The sequence below is a fragment of the Homo sapiens genome, chromosome 22 (assembly GCF_000001405.40).
Source record: "Homo sapiens chromosome 22, GRCh38.p14 Primary Assembly".
NCBI classification, from domain to species: Eukaryota; Metazoa; Chordata; class Mammalia; order Primates; family Hominidae; genus Homo; species Homo sapiens.
Genome location: NC_000022.11, coordinates 49,082,765 through 49,102,375, shown reverse-complemented (window position 1 = coordinate 49,102,375; position 19,611 = coordinate 49,082,765). Strand labels below are relative to the sequence as shown.

At 54.6% G+C, this 19,611-nt stretch overlaps 1 long non-coding RNA gene across 1 annotated transcript, besides 6 other annotated features; it reads right to left on the bottom strand.

Annotated features, from left to right (window-relative positions):
• Positions 2,199–3,196: an enhancer, noted in NCBI's record as "H3K4me1 hESC enhancer chr22:49494904-49495901 (GRCh37/hg19 assembly coordinates)". NCBI's record gives its function as "activates a minimal SCP1, AML or CMV promoter by ChIP-STARR-seq in naive H9 embryonic stem cells {active_cell/tissue: H9 hESC(naive)}" and the evidence as "EXISTENCE:reporter gene assay evidence [ECO:0000049][PMID:30033119]".
• Positions 3,743–6,720, bottom strand: LOC105373086 (uncharacterized). Its single transcript, XR_938333.1, has 3 exons — positions 6,632–6,720; positions 5,516–5,673; positions 3,743–5,045 (listed from the first exon to the last, which is right to left on the bottom strand). It is a non-coding gene; the product is annotated as an uncharacterized LOC105373086 (long non-coding RNA).
• Positions 4,166–4,665: an enhancer, noted in NCBI's record as "H3K4me1 hESC enhancer chr22:49493435-49493934 (GRCh37/hg19 assembly coordinates)". NCBI's record gives its function as "activates a minimal SCP1, AML or CMV promoter by ChIP-STARR-seq in primed H9 embryonic stem cells {active_cell/tissue: H9 hESC(primed)}" and the evidence as "EXISTENCE:reporter gene assay evidence [ECO:0000049][PMID:30033119]".
• Positions 4,666–5,167: an enhancer, noted in NCBI's record as "H3K4me1 hESC enhancer chr22:49492933-49493434 (GRCh37/hg19 assembly coordinates)". NCBI's record gives its function as "activates a minimal SCP1, AML or CMV promoter by ChIP-STARR-seq in primed H9 embryonic stem cells {active_cell/tissue: H9 hESC(primed)}" and the evidence as "EXISTENCE:reporter gene assay evidence [ECO:0000049][PMID:30033119]".
• Positions 5,576–5,747: a silencer, noted in NCBI's record as "fragment chr22:49492353-49492524 (GRCh37/hg19 assembly coordinates)". NCBI's record gives its function as "represses an EF-1alpha promoter that drives an FKBP-Casp9 reporter gene in an ReSE screen in phorbol 12-myristate 13-acetate-treated (for megakaryocytic differentiation) K562 erythroleukemia cells {active_cell/tissue: K562(+PMA)}" and the evidence as "EXISTENCE:reporter gene assay evidence [ECO:0000049][PMID:32094911]".
• Positions 17,513–18,712: an enhancer, noted in NCBI's record as "MED14-independent group 3 enhancer chr22:49479476-49480675 (GRCh37/hg19 assembly coordinates)". NCBI's record gives its function as "activates an origin of replication core promoter dependent on BRD2, BRD4, P300/CBP and CDK7 cofactors, and independent of MED14, by STARR-seq in HCT116 cells {active_cell/tissue: HCT116}" and the evidence as "EXISTENCE:reporter gene assay evidence [ECO:0000049][PMID:35650434]".
• Positions 17,589–18,089: an enhancer, noted in NCBI's record as "H3K4me1 hESC enhancer chr22:49480099-49480599 (GRCh37/hg19 assembly coordinates)". NCBI's record gives its function as "activates a minimal SCP1, AML or CMV promoter by ChIP-STARR-seq in naive H9 embryonic stem cells {active_cell/tissue: H9 hESC(naive)}" and the evidence as "EXISTENCE:reporter gene assay evidence [ECO:0000049][PMID:30033119]".

The window sequence follows — 19,611 nt, the reverse complement described above, 5'->3', positions numbered from 1 at the left end:
CCTTTCTATCCCAGATGCCTTCTGGTTGGTCCCATCACTCCAGAGGCAAACACAGTTAGCACCTGTGAAGGTGAGTGGTTCAGGACTAAAGAGTGAAAATGCCATCTGGGAAACTCGATTTTTGGTGGAATTGAGGTTTTTGGCTATGATCGTGGTTCCTGACTGCCCAAGTGATTGGATCAGCCGTGAGGATAATCAAATCCGGGAAGGTGTGTGTCAGCCAGGCCCTCCGCCTTGCTGCCAGGGCTGCGGGCTCCTCAAGGTCTCAGGAATAACAGGGCCCCTGTGCCTGTCTCCTCTGCAGGGTGAGGCCCTCAGCCCAGAGGGTGTGGACTGGCCTGGTGGGCGCAGGGCAGCAGGACACTGTGGTTCGGAACCTGCAGCATCTGCCTGGCCCCCTCAGGTGGGCAGAAATGGCTGCTGCTTCCCTTGGGTCAGGGAGGAAGCTAGCAGGACAGAAGCCATCCCCACTGCCTGAAAACCCTTTTCCTGACCTGCTGAAGGCAGAGACCTAGGCTTGATTTTAAATGATGCAATTAAAAATTCCACCTCTGAAACACGGTAATTGTAATCTGTCTCATCTCTAAGTGTAATTACATTAAACTCCAATTTTCCCTCAAATATGCATTCCAATTCAATTTTCCTTTTTTTCTCTTCTTAACTAAATCTATTATCATTCCCTCAGTTAAATTATGCTCATTTAATCTTTGATGAGGCCTTTTGCTGGCAATCAGTTGTTTTAAATTAATGCCCCCAAGTCTTGGGGAGTGTTGGGGCTCAGCTCCCCGAGCCTCTAGGGGAGTGAAGAGGGTGCGGAAGCTGTGATTCCTGGGTCTCTGCCTGGGGGGGCTTCCTCCTGCACCTCCTGCCTGTGGGGTCCCCACCAACCGCGTGTTCCCTGGGGAGGAGAAGACAGCCTGTGAACAAGACGGGGACTCCCCTGGGGTTAGACCTGCAGGGGGACGGAGCCCACCCCAGCCTTCCAGTTACCCCAGTGGAGAGGCCCAAAGCACATCACCTTCCCCGACCACCTGGAAAACGGTCAACCTCTACAGACCCCCTGCAGCCTGGGGTCCCTCAGAGGCAGACCTCCCTCAAAGGAAACATAATTCTTGCAGAATCCTAGTGTTGGCCTCAATAATTCTCATTAGAACACCATTTGTTAGGCTTAAATCCCTTCGGTTTATAGCTTTTCTGCAGCCACTAAGTCGAACTAATGTATGAATTAAATGCAAAAATAATCAGCTGAGTAAAACAAAAGCCGTCCCGTCCTAGTCACGCCCTTAGCTTAGAGACTGGCAGGGTTTGAGCGAAAGGAATTGTTTCCAGGGCGGGACGCGGTCTGGGGCTGCTCTTGGCTCCACTGCCCTGAGTAGGATGCCAACCCACTCCTTCCTTGCCGGGTGCTTCTGCTGAGAAGGTGTGTGCTGCAACTGGGGGTCCCTGGCTCCCGCACCTCCTCCTTCGTGCATTGGCGCCTCAGCTTGTGAGTTTCCTGCTGGTCCCAGCTTAACCACAGCCCCGGTACGCGGAGGCCTTCAGACACCGGGGCTCTCTGGGGGATGAAAAACGGTTTAACACAGACATATGAGGGCCTCCTGAGCCCCTCAGCACCTGCTCCCCTTCTGCAGGGGTGTCCAGAAAAGGAGGGGATACAGGTGCATTGGGGGCTGCTGCCTGTCTAGGCACCTCCCACAGGACATGGGGCAACTCCCATTCCAGCATTAAGTGGTTGGGTCCAATCTGCCCCCTTGTCCGGGAGGAGACTGGTCCCAGTTCTCGGGAACTTACCCAGTGCCCTCCCGTGTTACAGGCAGGCAGCCTGGAGTTCAGGCCGCCTGTTCCCAGTCACTCAGGCTTGCAGCTGGGTTCCGGCCTCCCTGGCCGTGGATTGTCTGCTCTCAGGGCAGTGTGAGGGCTCAGATGCCTGCAGTCCCATGGACGCAGCTCAGTGGGGACTTACTGGGTGACCCGCAAGAAACAGGGGGAACAGGGACGCAGAGGCAGACCCAGATGATTCCTCTAGCCTCAGCTTCCCTGACCACAGATAGGATCTCCTGAGAGTGACCATGCCCAGCACCATGCTCAGCACGGCAGACCCCTGATGAGTTCATTCATTCATTCAGTCATTCAGTCACTCATTTCTTCACTCCCAGCTCACTCAAGGGAGCCAAATACCACAACATTACTTCCAGGCTCTTTACCATCCAAGTGTTGCTAATGTAGATTCCATTGTGTCAGAATCTAAGGATTTATTTAAGATAGGCTAACGTTTCTTCTTGCTACTTCTATAAACACAGAAGAATCACAGCAGGGTCTGGAGAATCTGACACCCTTCCAGGGAGAATTCGGGTCTCTGCAGCCTCACTGGTGGCTCCTCACAACCTGCCTGGTGACCTGTGTGCCTCGCTCAGCAGCTCTGCCGTTTAGAGCTGTGGCCAAGGCACACCTCGAGGGCTTGCATGGGCCACCATGCTGTCCCTGCATCCCTCTGTTCCTGAACCTCCACACTCCCACAGCCTCCAGGAGGACTGGACTCACCCTAGCCTTGCAGATGACAAAGGATTAATGTGTTTTCCCCCCCATTAGCCACCACAGGCTAATATGGGGGAAATGCCAGAGAGCAAATATGCACCACCCAGTTGGACAGGGATGCTGGGAACAGCAGCGAGTGTGAGTCACCGCAGGGCACGCGAGAGTGGCCCAGCATGTCCGCTGCCTGAGTGTGAGTCACCGCAGGGTACGCGAGAGTGGCCCAGCATGTCCGCTGCCCGAGGAGCTGCAGGTGCTCAGCCTCACCCATGCCCCTTCCTGGAGGAGCCTCAGACATCCAGGAGGGAAGGCTCTGGGGCAGGCCAGAAACTCAAGGTTCAGGTGGATGTTCCTCTTCAGTTTTCCTCTTAAAGCCTTCATGATGTGATAAGGCTCACCCAACTGCTCAGGGGTGATCTCCTTTACGGAAAGGCAACTGATTGTGGGTGTTGAGCAATCTACAAAATACCTTCACAGCAGCGTCCCAGGATGCCGGACACCACAGCCCAGCGAGGTGGACGTGAGACTCGCCACCTGGGTCCACCGCCTGTCAGCCCGACACCATGCACCTCTATATACGTCTCCCTAAAACATACCTAATTCTGGCCGGGTGCGGTGGTTCACACCTGTAATCCCAGTACTTTGGGAGGCTGAGGTGGGTGGATCACAAGGTCAGGAAATGGAGATCATCCTGGCTAACACAGTGAAACCCCGTCTCTACTAAAAAAATACAAAAAAATTTGCCGGGCGTGTAGTTCCAGCTACTTGGGAGGCTGAGGCAGGAGAATGGTGTGAACCCGGTAGGCGGAGCTTGCAGTGAGCTGAGATAGCACCACTGTACTCCAGCCTGGGTGACAGAGCGAGACTCCATCTCAAAAAATAAATAAATAAAAAATAAAAAAAGTATCTAATTCCCAAACAAAGACGATCCCCTAACATCATAAAAGCATTCTGTGTGCTCCTGAAAACACACTAACCCTTTCCCAGAAGAGCTCTGGGTGGTGTTTCCTCTTCTCCATGACATCCTGCAGCACAAATGCTGTGATATAAAGTAACAATGCTTAGAAACTACGCTCTGAAGTCAATACATCTTATGTAACACCATAAGGGGAGAAGAGAGGGAAGAACAGATTTGCTTTGTGTGTGTGGTTATGTATTCATACACAAAAACACATTAATAATAAATAAGAATATTTATAATTTACCATGATGACAATTACAGTCCTTGCTTCTGTGATGGGCCCGGAGGGCACCCCTGGAGCTCACAGCCGCCTTCTTCTCTCCCATACAATGCTCCCTTTCCCCTCGGCAGTCACGTCAGTTGGTCCTGCTTCTTTATCTGGTGGGGAGACCCAAACCTTCATTCCTGAAGGGTCTGGGCCATTCGTAGTCCTGTCTGGATTGGGTTGTTGTAATTTCCCATGGCAGTATTAGGAGACACCCTGCGGGATCTCCTGTTTGTAGACACACTCTTTCTTACGTCCCCATGGAGCAGCGGTCAATTTCCCCTTGATAATCTGGACTGATACCCGCAGCCAGGATGGAAATTCCCTTCTTAGCCTGTTGACTCAGAGACATGAGGAGTCCAATGCGGCCAGGCAGCAGGCTGAACTTCCAGGACAATAATATCATTGTTGTGTCTCCTGGTGGAAGCACTTCTCCCTCTGGAGTAAGACTTCTAGGCCAGCAGAGTATAAAGTCATGGGAACAGAAAGCAAAAAAATTTGCTAGTAGGTCACTAGGGGTGATGGCGAGTGGCGCGCTTCCATTTCCACCCCTTGGTTCCTGGACCCGTGAGTCCTGGCTACGGGAGAGACAGCAGCACATGCTGGACACTGATTCAGAACATGCGCAGCCCAGGAGACCTCTCCCAGCCCCCGGAGGTACCATCACCATCAAAAGGCCATTCCCTGGCTCTATCCAGCCCACTGCTCCAGGCTGGAGCATGGTAAGAGCAGGGAATTCCATGAGCAGGGAGGGACCCATGGCTGCTCTTTGGCTGTGAAGTGAGTGCCTTGACCAGGAGCAATGTCCTGTGGAAAAGGCGTCCTCCAAGTCCAGAGACGGCGGCACTCCCAGTGAAGCTGCCCTGGACTTCAGCTCACGCTCCCACACACACAGCGTCCTCAGGCAGAGAGCTCTTTCTGCTCAGCTCCCAGGACCCATGGACATGACCTCACAGGCTTCTGTGATGGGCTGCATCCAGCCGGCAGGCTCCTGAACACAACGGGGCGCTCAGACCTGAACGCTCTCATGGAGGCCATTTCCTACCTGAAGGGAATAGCAGGGCCATGGCCTGGTTGGAGAAAGAAGAAATTAAGCGTGGCGGGAACCTCATGAACCCATTAACACGTTAGAAGACAACAGACGATTTAGGAAAAAGGACAAAATTCAGCAGCGGAGCCTGCCTGTTCCTGCTGTGGTGCGTTTTGTTCCTGGAACTTGGTGCTGAGTCCACGGCATGGAGAGGCAGACGGAGCAGCCGGCCCCCTTAAGTGCTCGTATCCGCATTCCTGCAACACTTACATGTAGATATTATTTTAATTGCAAAAACACACTAACCAGCACATAAAATAATTAAAAGTGCTTTGTAAATTGTGACATCCCAATACTGCCCAGTGAAAACTGATTATTTAAATATTGAGTCTAATTGTCACTGTAATTCCCATTCAATAGACGGCCAGACAGTTTTCAAATGAATGAAAACGTTTTATAAAATCAATTCATTATGTGAGAGCCACACATCACTAAGTTGCTGTTACACTATCATCATCTATCTGGAGAAAGCCCAGGCTGAGAAGTGCGTTCCTTCCACACCTCACGATAACATGTTTTCAATACGTGCACATTGCACTTGCCCAGAGGGACCTGGGGACTCTTTCCAACCTGGGAGCAGATGGCAGAATGGCCAAGGAAGGGCTGTGAATTTTCAAGTTTCTGTCAGATGAGCAAAAGGAAATGGAAATTTCCTATAAATATTTACCTTTCCACAGCAGCAGGAATAACAAGGCCTCAAATATTGTTTGAGGCCAGTGAAACTGAAAACGTGGGGACCCCTCGCTCGAAGGATGAAGCATTTCAGGTCAGTGACAGCAACGCATTAACCCAGGTGTGGGTCCTTCTAGTGCGGGGCCCTGTACACTGCAGGAGGAATCAGTTGACCAGCTACGAAGGCGGGCCCAGCAAAGCTGGAATGGCCCCACAGGGCTGCTGAGAATCTGCCCGAGGGTACCACAGATGCCCTCATTCCATCAGGGCCCAAGGTACTGGGTTTTGGCGTGTTGGACTAAACACCAATGAAACTGTACAATCTTGTGCTTATGCCTGTGTGTGTGTGTGTGTGTGTGTGTAGATTTGTGTGTGCAGGCCAGTGTGTATGTGACTATATGTGAGTGTGTTCATATGTGTGTGTGTGTGCACCTGCATGTGTGTGTGAACGTATGCATGTATGCATGCATGCCTGTGTGTGCTTTTGTGTGTGTTCATGTGTGTGTGTGTGTGCACCTGCGTGTGTGTGTGTGTGAATGTACGTATGTATGTGTGCATGCCTATGTGTGCCTTTGTGTATGTGGGTGTGTTCACATGTCTGTGTGAGTGTGCACCTGCATGTGTGTGAATGTATGCACTTATGCGTGCATGCCTGTGTGTGCTTTTGTGTATGTGAGTGCGTTCACGTGTCTGTGTGAGTGTGCACCTGCGTGTGTGTGGCTGTGTGTGTTTGCATACCTGTGTGTGTGCCTTTGTGTATGTGAGTGTGTTCATGTGTGTGTGAGTGTGCACCTGCGTGTGTGTGAATGTATGCATGTATGCGTGCATGCCTGTGTGTGCTTTTGTGTATGTGAGTGCGTTCACGCGTCTGTGTGAGTGTGCACCTGCGTGTGTGTGGCTGTGTGTGTGCATACCTGTGTGTGCGCCTTTGTGTATGTGCGTGTATGTAAGTGCATTCATGTGTGTGTGAGTGTGCACATGCTTGTGTGTGTGTCTTTCTGGATGCCTGAGTGTGCCGTGTGTGCATGTGTGTTGGGGAGCACTTGGGATGAGGGTGTGCACTTCTGGAATGACTTGTCAGTGGCCCTGCTGGGTCCCGTCTTGACCCCACCTCACCCGGCCTTGCTTCCAGGTGGGGCCCTGCTGCTTGCTGAGCTCCTTCAGCCCCGGCCAGTCCTTCACAGGTGGAGGAAGCACCCGCTCTCCAGGCCTGGTTCCACGGCTTCCATCCCTGTGACACCTGAGGCAGACCCTCGCCCCAGCCAGGCCGACCTCAGCGGGGGCTCCAGCCTGCACCCAGGCTGGGAAGGCCTGTGAGCTGCTGGGCTGTGCTGGTGGCGTAAGGGACCCAGCCGTTCCTCCCGAGGTGCCTGCCCTGCCCTTCCCCGGGGAGAAGCGTCCCTCCTGCTGGAGGAGCCCCGGGGCTGTATGGCTGTTCCGAATGCTCGCGGACGGGGTCTGTCTCCTTTCTGTGGCCTCCCACCGACCCTGCTGTGCCTCCCTGTTCTGGGAAAGCCGGTACCTTGTTTGAAAAAACGGATTTTAACAACATATTTCTCACAGCCTGCTTCCCAGAGATCTCGCCAGGATTTCTGGTCACTCCTCGGGTTCAGAGAGCCTCACAACAACGCCGGGAGTGGGTTTGGGAGCAGATTTGGGAGTGGATTTGGGAGCCCCTCTGCCCGCTGGGGAGGAATGCCTCACCTCGGGGCTGGGTGCCCACCACCACAGGCCGGCTGAATTCGCCCACATGCGCCCCTCTGGTCCCGTGGTGACACGGAGCTTCGGGGAAAAGTCAGCAGACAGGAACAGGAAGCAAGGATCCTGCCCCATCTGGGACACACAGCGTGGGGACCTGGGAAGCGTCACCCACCTGGCTGAGCCTGGGTTTCTCCGTCTATGTGAAGGTGTCAACGAGGGCTCTCACCCAGGCCCCTCCTGAGAACGCAGCCAGAGACTCCTCTCATCCCATCATCGTGAACCCGAGACCACACCTGTGAAGGGGGCCCCAGCCCAACACCGAAGGACTCCAGAACCCCCAGAGAGCAGAGACTTCACCAGAAGCTCCTTTCTTTAAAAAAAAAAAAAAAATCCCTTTTAAAACATTTTCAGCCACGTGATCAAAAGTAAAATTTGCCCATCTAATTTATTAAACTTCCACCCAAACTTAGACATCAAATGTTTTATTAATATTTTCTATCATCCCTACAAGTTAAACCAGCCATGAAAATTACCTTCAACAGAAAAAAAAAAAATGTCGAAAATGTATTCATTTATAGGAGCCACACAGCGGCCCTCCTTTGGCAATTTAATCAGAAATGACTGAGGTGTGCCCGAATACGTTTTCTCTGATACAAATATTAAAATATTTAATTAATGTCAATCAGGCCCAGAAGAAAGAACTGTTCACAGCAGCCATTTACCCAGAGCAGCTGCCAGGCCGAGCCTCAGGCCCAGGCTCAGTGCCCCCTCCCCGGAGCCCCCAGGCAGAAAAGGAGGAACCACCCTGAGGCCACCTGCAGGTCCCTGGCAGCCCAGAGCGTGCCCGGATGTGATGTGTCCTCTGTGGGTGACAGAGCTAAGGAGGTACCTGGGCACACCGTCCATACCCCCTCCCTTCCATCCTTCCTCTCTCTATTTCCCTCTCTCCCTTCCTAATTCCTTCCTTCCTAATTCCCTCCCTCTCTCCCTCCCTCCCTCCCTCCCTCCTTCCCTCCCTCCCTCCCTCCCTCCCTCCCTCCCTCCCTTCCTTCCTTCCTTCCTTCCTTCCTTCCTTCCTTCCTTCCTTCCTCTTTTTAAATTCTTGTTGACTTTTCTTCCAGGAGACCTCATGTTGTAGACTCTGGGAACCCAAATACTAAGGGTGTGGATATTTTCAACAAAAATAAAAATGCTCTCCCGGGGCTGAATTGAGCTTCGTGGGTTGCTATGACCCAAACACCCCTGCGTCTGTGAGCTCATGCTGTGGGAGCCGCTGCCTGCGGGCTCCAAGTGACAGGTGTGTGTGCCCAGGAGGGCCTCTGACTGGCTCACAGGTGTCTCCAGGCAGGGTGCTGGGGGTGGGGGGTGGGGGTGCCCAACACGAAGTGCATGTGGGTGCCACAGCCCATCTGGTCCTCAGAGCGAGGCCGGCGCCGGGATGTGTGCAGTCGTCTGCGTGAAAAAGGCAAGACACAAGCAGGGGCTTCTGGAAACTGTGACACCCCTGCCCGGGCCTGTGGGCGGCCCTGCACGGATGCTGTTAGTGTGAAGTTGTCCTTGGTGTGCAGTGAGGCCGGGGGCTGTCCACAGAGTCAGCTCTCCAGGCCTCTGCTCCTCCATCCAGGACACCAGGGCCAGGCCTGCAGCCACAGCGGGTCTGGGAGGTTCTGAGGAGGCCGCTGAAGGGGGGCCTCTGACGCCCTGGGCTGAGTTTAATGTGCATGGAATTTGGCACGGTCTCCAGGCGTGGGGACCGGTGGGGGCCTGTCTACTTCTCCTGCAAAGCTGGGCCCTCGAGGACCCTGGATCTCCGTCTCCAGAAGCACCCAGAAGCTTCTCCCACAGGGCACCTGGGTGACAAGGCAGGTGGGAGGGACACGACATTTGTACAGGACTTTGAGGGAGGAATTATTTTCTTCTGGAGTAATTCCCGTTATGTTCCCGTCTCTCAGCCTTCTGCTTGGTATATGACCTGATGTCTTCTCCGCCTGAAATGCAATAAAAAGGCAGTTTCCCACAAGTCCTGTCATTTCGTGATTGCCGTCATGGAGGAATGGCAGCCTCCGTGCCGGGGCTAATCCTCAGTGGAAATAAAGCATGGGCTCCTTGGCACCCTTCAGCCGTTGGAGTAGCCCCTGGGAACTGAGGAACAGGCAGATCGGCACCTGCCTCGCCCCTCCCCAAGCAGCCGATACCCCCACCCAGGCGTCACCCCAGAGACCAGGCTCGGACAGACTCCTCATGCAGCTGATATCTCCACCCCGGGCGTCACCCTAGAGAGCAGGCTCAGACAGACTTGGAATTATCTCTCGCTCACATTAACAAATGCCCAGAGGTGGAGCACGTGGGTGACAGTACACGCTCCTCCACTTCCCATGAAGCCTCCTAGAAATTAAACTCACAGAGGTGGGGAGGAAGCTCTCGCTGATGGCTGTGGGCGGGAAGAGGGGAAGGTCAGAGGATGCTGAAACCCAGCCTACGTTGGGGTCGCAGCTACCCACAACCCAGAGTGGGCTGGATCCACACAAAACTCCCAACAGCCTGGGGGCTCCTGGGTGCCAGGTGTGGTGCCCACTGCCTTTAACACAGGTGGCCTCCACCCCTTTTACAGGCCAGAAAACTAAGGCTCAGTGAGGTCACGTGCCTCACCAGGTCCCACCGAGATCTAGCTTTAAACCTGACTCAGACTCAGCCTTGTCCAGCCCCAGTAACCTATGAGTTCACCACCACTCAACATATTCGTCACTGGACTCAGGGCCCCCGTGGCCTGGCCAACCTCCTGGCCTTCCTGGCACACCACAGAGCCTCAGGAGCCTAGCCTCGCTGGGCCTTCTGCCCACCCCTCCACCCCCACGTCACCAGGTCCCCAGCTTCCCAAGCGCCTCCTCACTCACTGCCTGTGCGAGCCTCCAGGACTCCAGGAAATTCCACAAACTGGGGACCTAAAGCAACAGAGATGCCTGCTGCCACAGTTCCAAAGGCCAGGAGCCTGACACGGAGGTGTCCCAGGGCCACGCCCCATCCCCAGGTCTGGGGGAGGACCCTTCCTGCCTCTTCCAGCCTCTGGTGGCCCCAGGAGTCTCTGGGCTGCCCAACTCCACCCTCTGCTCTGGTGTGGCAATTTCCGTTTTTTTTTTTTTTTTTTTGAGACAGAATCTCGCTGCTGCTCTGGGCACATTGCTTATGGGGGGCCCTGCTCTTCAAGGAACACATCTCTGCAGCCGCTTGAATAAAGTTGTCTAACACCACCAGCTTGCTCTGGAATTCTTTTCTGGGTGAAGCCAAGAACCCTCCCTGACTAAACCCCAATTTGGGGGCTCATCTGCCCTGCATCAAGGTAGTCAACGAACGCACACATGCGCTGATATGGCTCAGCATTGATCTGCACCAGTGAGTGTGAGTCCTGGGGACCACCTCACCAGGCCAGCATCCGGGTGGCGGGGGCTGCGGCCCTGCGAGGCATCGTCCGAGTGGACAGAGGGAAGCAGCACTCCCTGCGTGGTCCCTCTAGGTGCGTGTGAATCTGCAGTTACCTCAATAAAGCCCCCAGTTCGGAAACACCAGAAACACGCCCCTGGCGTCGCTTTTGGGGCCCAGCATGACACGCCAGGTGCTCAGGCCACGCCCCACGAGGTGGCGGCCAGCATTAGGCATGGGGGCCCTGGGACCTGCTGCACTCAGGCAGCCACTGCCTTTGCCTCCTGGGCTACGGTCATCAGGGTTAACAAATATGAACAGAGGGTCCCCAGGTGAATGTGGGCTTCAGATGAACAAGGGACAGGTTTCTAGACAAGTATAGCCCAGCCAATAATTGCAATGCCTGGGACATACTTACGCCGACAACGATGGGTTGTTTATCTGAAATTCCAGGGTTCTATATTTTATTTGGGGATCCTTCTCTTGTTTCCTGGGGCACATGTTCCAGTTGGAGATCTGGACAATAGCAAATCAATGAGCAAATAAACACAATTGCAAGCAGTGGGGATTCTGCAGGAAGGACTTCACCTGGGCAATGAGAGAGAGAGAGAGAGAGAGAGACAGAGAGAGAGAGACAGAGAGAGAGAGAGCGAATGTGTGCATGCATCCGAGCTTGTGTGTGTGGTGTGTATATGAGTGGAGGGGGGAGCGCAGGCCGCCTGCACCTGTCTGCTGGGCAGCACCAGGGCAGACCGCTTTCCTCCGTTCCCAGTGTCACCTGCAGATGCTGGACAGGCCCGGCTCAGCAGATGTTCCGTGAATGAATAAAGTGGTGATTAAAGAGCCTTTTGGACCGGCCGTGGTTCCAGCAGAAGCCACCCTGATGAGCTGGGCTCTGCCAGGCTGGAGGACGCCAAGGTGACAACCACATCAGGGGAGACAGCTACAGCAGTGGGAGCTGCAAAGAGAGGGGCTGGTGACCGCCGGGTGCCCTGAGCCCCAGCACCCCAGGCTGGTCTGCTCTCGGGCACCCCAGCCTCACTCTGCAGCACCTCATGCAGCCAGCCTCATTCTGCAGCACCTTCATCCCCAGCCTCACTCTGCAGCACCTTCATGCAGAGATGCCCAGTGCCCAGTGGACTTGGCCACCTTAGTAAAGACGGCAGCTCTGCTGCGTCCAGGTCCAGCCCAGGGTCCTGATAGGGGCTTCCAAGGGAAATGCTAATGGCCCCATCCCACCAAATAGCACTTTCCACGCTGCACTCCACACTGAAAATCGCACTGCTGGAGATGGACCTGGGAGCAGCCTGCTCTGTCCTGGGGCTACGGCCGTGTCCTGCGCAGCAGCCCACACTGGATGCAGGAGCTGGAGCGGTTGTGCCAGTGTGGACACTTTCACGATGGCTGCAGAGAAGACCAGGGTAGGACACTGGCTGCTGCTCCATCCTCATGGTGGGACAGGGGCTGGGCTTCCAGGGAGCACAGCTGCTGGCTGGGGTCCTGTGAGCGCTGTCTCCCTGCGGCATGTACAGAATTAAGGCTGGCCACCCTGGGGGCTTCGGCCCGGCATTTGGACTCCGACCCCTTCCCGGCTCAGCTCCTGCCCCCCGGATCTGCCTGAGTTCCAACCCCAGCAGTCTCTCATGTTCCCTCTCTTCAAGTTCTACATAGAACTTGAAAGTTGAAAGTTGCACATCAACTTTCCCATGTGAAACCTGCCCCTCCAAGCCCCTGCTCTCTGCTGAGTTTTAGGCCAGTCTTGGGCACCAAATGATTTGCTCTGTGGGTACAGCCGGGGACTTCTGAATTGTCCTTATTCTCGTCAGCACCTCCTGCGTGCCAGCCGCCTCCACATTTGTATCGGATTCTCTCGGCCACCTGGTAGGGTTGCTGTCACCCCATCCCCAATTTTCAGAGGGCGAAACTGAGGAGCAGTCACTGTAAGTGGCTTACCAGGGTCTCAGCTGACAAGCAAGAAAAGCAAAACTCTATATGCAGTGCTCTCTTCCCGCCCTCCAGACGGCAGATGGGGCCCGAAGCCTCACACCGGCAGCAATTCTGCCCCCGACTGAAAACGCACCCCAGGGGAGGGGCGGGCCAGCCCTCCTGACAACCGGCTGACAGGAGGGGAAGACCTGTGGTTAGCACCCTGGGGGTGCCGCGCAGGGAGGCTCCGAGCAAGCCCACGTCCCAGGCTGCACCTTATCCAGGCCAGACGTGATGCAGCCCAAGGAGGCCCCTTCACAGCAGCATGGTGGTCACAGAGGGCTGTGCTGGGCCCACCCTGGGGGAGTCCGGGGCCTGGGCAGAGGCACAGGGGCTCTCTTTGCACAGACAGGTGGGGTCGAGGGTGTGGAGGCCTTGGTGCCAGACCCAGGAGTGTGACATCATAGGAGCCTCTGCTGGGGCAGACCCTGGAGTGGACGGAGTGATGATGGGGATGGCAGCGTGTGATGGTCACTGAGGGGCAGCACTGATGGTCACCGAGGGTCAGCCTGGCCGTGGGGACAGCAGTGTGTGGTGGTCACCGAGGGGCAGCCTGGCCGTGGGGACAGCAGTGTGTGATGGTTACCGAGGGGCAGCCTGGCCGTGGGGACAGCAGTGCGTGATGGTCACCGAGGGGCAGCACTGATGGTCACCAAGGGTCAGCCTGGCCGTGGGGACAGCAGTGTGTGATGGTCATCAAGGGGCACCAGTGATGGTCACCAAGGGCCAGCCTGGCCGTGAGGACCAGGAGGGGAGAGTTCACTGCCACTGTTCGTGCAGGTGCCCAGCACCTCTGCCCTCAGGGTGGAGAGGAAAAGCGAGAAGTCTATGGCACAGGTGCCACGGGGCAGAGGGGATTTGAGATGGGAACCAGACGTGACCTGGCCACGCCGCCCCTGCCACAGGCTCACGTGCTCACTTTCCAAAATGACACGTTCCTTAACCTGCTGGGCCTGGCTCTCTTCGCCTCTCCTCCTGCTCTGCTGAGCAAATTCCAACCTCTCATATGGGTGTGACCCCCTGTTGAAACACTGCTGTGTCCATGGAGCACATGATTATTTTAATTAAGAACACGTCGTGGAATGAGGCCGCTGAGGCCCACACACTGTGCCTCCCAGCACTCACCTCCCCTGCCCCCAAGCAGGTGGGTCTCCCAGTGGCACTGCCCAACCCCCTGCCCTGTCACACACAGAGCACATGAGGGAGGGCATGCCTCACGCCCTGCCAGGAGCCCGCCTCAGTTTCCCCCCTCTCATTTGCAGGGCTGCCCGTGTGCAGCCAGCCTGAGCCCCAGCACTCAGCTCCAGATTGGAGCCTGCAGCAGCTGCCATCCATCATGCTTGGACTGCGGCCCGTGGGCTGGTGATGGCCGTCCACTCTCGGGGCCCAGCCCGGCTGGAGACCCAGGGAGAGCAGTGATTGATTAACAAGCACACGCCGAATTACTCTCTGTAATGGTGATGAATATGGCTTGGACCTCGCTGGCATTCACGGTTGTTTATCCATTTTTAGATCCAGGGAACAGCAATCAAGCTCTTCTGCTGGCTGCTGGCCCCTGCGCCAGCCCTAGGGTTGGGGGCGATGCCGGCTCCCTTTCCAGGGCTCCCATCTGTCTTTGGGAAGCAGAGGAGGGCAGGGCAGTGCTCTGTTTCTTCCTGGAAAGAAATCCTTCCAGCGCAAGCTGCCCAATGTCAAATGGGTCCATGTGGAGGATTCTGCGGTCACACACACAAGCCTGCTGCAGGGAGAACCAGCCGCCCCGGGCCCCGCGTGAGGGTGAGCTCGCTGTGCCCACCGACCTGGCCCTCCTGGGATGGGCGCTGCAAGGCCCCTTTGCACTGTCCTGGCGGTCCTCCAGGATGAGATGATGTCCCCATGCTGGCCTGGGCCATCCCCTCTGAACCTTCAGGCTTCCCAGGCTCATAGCAACAGGCTCCTCGTGGCATCATGGATAGAGCATAAGCAGATATGACCACACTGAGGCAGAGCCTGGGGCTCCTTACCCAGGGTGAGTCTGGCTCTAAGGTCCAGGAGGGTCTCCCCGGCTAGGTAGGTGTGTGACCTGAGATTCAGGGGACTTTGCCTCTGCCCCCCTCACCTCAGTGTATGTGGATTCTTGCACCTACTCAGAAATGAGTCCCCAGCCCTGAAGCTCTGTGCTGGAAACTAGTGTAATCCAGGTCATGGAACAGAGCGAAGTAAATGCTTCATGGGGGCCTGGAATACGGCCAGGGGTTGTGGAAGTAAATAGGATTTTCAGACACTAGGAACAAGATACGCAGGCCTGGAGTGGAAATGATTAGTGAAGGGGAAGCAATGAGAGGGCCGTGTCCTCATAAGACAAGCACGCAGGCAGCCAGCCCTGATCCAAGACTGAGGGCCAGGCGTGTGTGTGTGCATGTGCGTGTGTGTGCATGTGTGTGGACGCCTGCCTGTGTGTGTGTGCATCTGTGAGCGTTTGGTCACATGTGTGCATGTGTGCATTGTGTGCATGTGTGAGCGTGTGCTCTTGTGTGTATGTGCATGTGCTGGTGTGTGTGTGTGTGCCTGTGTGGTTTGTGGGGTGGGGGGACAATGGTGTCTGGCCTGAGAGTAGACTCACCATTGCTGAGGACCTAGGGATGGCAAAAAACATCACAAACCGTAGCAAAGACACTCATCTTCAGTCACCATTGAGGAGAAATCTTCCCCTCTCCCCAGACTGACGAAGGCATCAGGCTTACCAGGCAGCCCTCGAGTGGGGTGCGTCAGGCTTACCACAAAGCCCTGGAGTGGGGTGGGAAGCCGGTCCTCCCAGTGTGAGGACAGTGCACTGTGTTGGCCTTTCCTGACTGACACAGCAGTCTCCTGACTGGCTCACACATGTGTGGTTCCACACAGCACCGGCCTCTCCCCGACGGCCTCCTGGGGCTGGAGCATCCTCACGGGAACAGCCACAAACATCTCCAGCTCCCATTTCTGCCCCGGAACTGCCCTGGACAGGCCCAAGTCCACTTCCCGGTGTGAGCCCTTTCTGTGGTCAGCAGCCCAGAGATCAGGCCCCACATCCCGCCCCCACTTCCTCACCCAGACTCTCTGGTCCAGGGGTGCAGGGGTGCACAGCTCCTAGAACCTCTGCCTAATATCTAAGCTTGCTCTGTCCTGGACGCCTCAGGGAGGTCCTGTGGTATCCAGGGAATCAGCACTCTCTAGAGGTGTGATCGTAAAAGAACGTTAAAACCACAGGACTCCCGAGATGAGAAAACATCCGAGAGGGCACCTGGACGCTCTGGTTTCAAAGGTGGCCAGGGTCCTGGGCGGGGCCTTTGAAAGGACAGGTGGCCCTTCTCCGTATTAGTCCCTTCTCACATTGCTATAAAGAACTGCCTTTCTTTAGTTGAGACTGCGTAGTTTATAAAGAAAAGAGGTTTAATTGGCTCAAAGGTTCACAGGCTTTGCAGGAGGCGTGGCTGGGGAGGCCTCAGGAAACTTACAATCATGACGCAGGTGAAGGGGGAGTGGGCAAGGCCCTCACACGGTCGAGCGGGAGAGAGACAGAGAAAGGAGGGGAAGCACTACACAATTTTAAACCACCAGATCTCACGAGAACGCACTCCCTATCATGAGAACAGCGAGGGGAAAATCCTTCCCCATGATCCCATCACTTCCCACCAGGTCCCTCCCTTCACGCTGGGAATTACAATTTGTCATGAGATTCGGCTGGGGACACAGACCAGACCCTGTCTCCCTCGAACCCAGCACAGTCACACTTTCTGTGCACAGTGTTAGAGTTCTGCTTAAGATCCCATTTACAGAAAGTGGCTGGCTTTTACTTCCTATGGAATTGTGACAGGCAGGATATAGCTCAGGTATAGAAGACGAGCATCCATGAATCTGTGAATGTACCACACGCCATGAAAGTGTTCACTTTAAAGTGGTTCACTTTGTGTTATGTGGATTTCACCCCTTTTAAAAAAAAAGAAAGAAAGAAAGAACAGCATTCAAGCTGGAGCCCAGCTCCCTGCGTTACAGCCCCAGGCCTTGTGCTGGAGGCATGAGCTCGATGCCTGGGGAGGTGTTTAGGGTATTTCTTCACCTAGGTCCTCCAGGGGACCATGGGGTTCATTCAGAGGTGAGCAGAGTGAAGACAGGATGCAGAAACGAGGGCTTGGGACGCAGAAGCGGCTCGTGGGCCCCTGTGGACTGTTATGCTCAGGACTATCGTTCATCTCGTTGAAGCTCTGTTTTACAGGTAGGGAAACTGAGTCACAGGACCAGACACACTCACCCACTCTCAGGGTTTAACCTGGACCTTGGACATTGCAGGGTGGGTTCAACCACCTCCTCCTATGTCTCTTTGCTGCCAGCTGCACCTGAGACCTGTATAGCCTCAAGATGCTCCCCTGAGCAGAGGGATGCCCAGCAGAAGCAGGGAGGCTGAGGGTCTGGTCTCCAGCAAGTGGCAGTTGGGGGACATTGTGGGGCCTCTCCATGTGTCTGTTGAATGAGGTGACAGGTTGAATGAGGTGACAAGTGTTTTGCTTGGCAGGGTTACCTATGAGGCATAGCCTTTAAAAAATAAAGGAGATGTGAATAATTATTGTGCTTGCTGTTGAATGTCCCTTGCTCTCCAGAGCAGGGATCCCCACCGAGGCACACTGTGTCCTCAGTAAGACCCTCTTTCTCAGCCCATGTCTAGGTCATAAAAGGATGAGGCACTGAAGTCCTCGTCCAACTGGTTGTAAATTATTCCACTTCTTCCAAAGATGTATTTCCTTCTGAGAACATTATCTTCAAGGAGGAATAAGGAACACTACTTATCTTAAAGCCATACAGGAAAACATGATATATGAAAATCTGGATCAACAAAGCAGATACATGTAGGGGACATTATTCAACTTGTAAAGAAGCAAGAAAATCTGTATCTTCAAGAGGGCACTCATAGATTTCCTTCAAAGGCAGCTGTCCTGTGGGTGCAAATATTTATTTAAAATTTATATATTCCTTGAAGATGAAGCTGTGGTGGGGGAGTGCGGGGTGTGGTGGTGATACTGGATACTGATCCAGTATCAGAAAATAATGGACCTATCAATAGAAGGATAGAAATTGCTTTGCATAAAACTTTTCAATGTGTCTCTAGCACTTGAAGAAAGGCAGAGCTGGCATGACTGAAGCCATGCCGTTGGTGCAGACAGGCACCACCAAGGAGGACCCAGTAGGAGCAGAGAGCCACTACCAAGGATGACTCCGCAGGTGCAGAGCGCCACCATGAAGGATGACTCAGCAGGTGCAGAGAGCCACCGCCAAGGATGACTCAGCAGGTGCAGAGAGCCACCACCAAGGAGGGCCCAGCAGGTGTGAGCAGCACGGAACCAGCTGTCTATACTGCGGAGAGGAGGCAAGCCCGATAGCCCCAGGACAGGCCTGGAGGGAAGAATTCGGCTAGGGAGAGCCTGGCTCTGGAATTCTCATTTGGTTTCCATGTCCATACAAAGCTCTTTGTAAATGGTCTTCCAGGAGAGCTGGGCTCTGCATACTGAGTCCAGAAAGAGACCCTGCCTGGGGGATGGAGAAGAGGCTGCCCCTGTGGGGGGCCGCCTTTGCCCCCGCTCAGTTCAGAGGTTCCTGGGCCGCCCAGCTGCCTGCTCTCTGAGCTGCTAAGGGGTATGCTAAGGATGGGTCGAGGCCTTCCAGCAAATCAGAGAGGGAGAGGTCTTGGTCTTTGTAACCCTCAGGGTCTGAGATGTCATCAGGTGATAAAGGGCAGGAAGTCCTCCCAGAGTGTGGAGGAAATCCAGTGACAGGCATTGTTCCTTCCTTCATTCATTCGCTCAGCTATTTATTAAACAACCCAACAGCAATGTCAGGAGAGGGGAGAGCACAAAGTGAGATGGCACGTGCAGCTGCTGGTCCTTCCCTCAGAGCCCCCAGCACCTCCTGCATCCAGGGAAGGCGGTGTGATGCCTGGGATCCCCGGTCCATCTGAAGGATTACCTGCTTCTCTCTCCATCGGCACCTATGGCATCTTTATCACGACACCCCCAAATCCACACCGAGGGTCCTCTCCCGATCATCCAGGGGACTCCTCACAGTCCTGGAGCACTGCCACTGACTCCTCTTCTCCACACTCTCTCCTCTGTCTTGGGATCTGCTCATTGGAACCTTGGCCTTTTCCAAAGCCGGTCTCAGGTCATCCTTCACATTCCCACACTGCACGAGACTTGCTTGATAGGATCTTTCATCTTCACACACACACAACACACACACACACACAGGCCGATGCACACTCCCTTCCTCTTCAATTAACTGATCAGGACAACTCTCTGCTGGGCTCTGCCATAGGCTCTTTAGGACTCAGGAATGTCATTAGGGTTATCCTTCCATCACAAGAAATCTCTCCCTCTCTTTATTTTCAACATGAGCCTGGAAATCCATAGCAAGAATGTATAATAATTTAGCGTCTTCTTGCTGGTAGGCATTAAGATTTGCGTCCGTCCGCGGTGACTCACACCTGTAATCCCAGCACTTTGGGAGGCCGAGGTGGGCGGATCATGAGGTCAGGAGATCGAGACCATCCTGGCTAACACAGTGAAACCCTGTCTCTACTAAAAATACAAAAAATTAGCCAGGCGTGGTGGTGGGCGCCTATAGTCCCAGCTACTCGGGAGACTGAGGCAGGAGAATGGTGTGAACCCGGGAGGTGGAGCTTGCAGTGAGCCGAGATCACGCCACTGCACTCCAGCCTGGGCGACAGAGCGAGACTCCATCTCAAAAAAAAAAAAAAAAAAAAAAAAAAAAAAAAAAGATTTGCGTCCTAAGCATCATCGTGCTGAGCGTTGCTTCCTGGACATTTCTATGCACCTGCACAGGTAGCTTGGTGCGGCGGGTTTGCAGCCCCCGTTCTGTCTCTTCATTTCCATTTCTCAAAGTAGAATCGCTCAGCTCATGTGCTGTCACTTTTTATATCAACAAGCAATTGTTTCCAAAATGACTTCACCAATCTAGCCT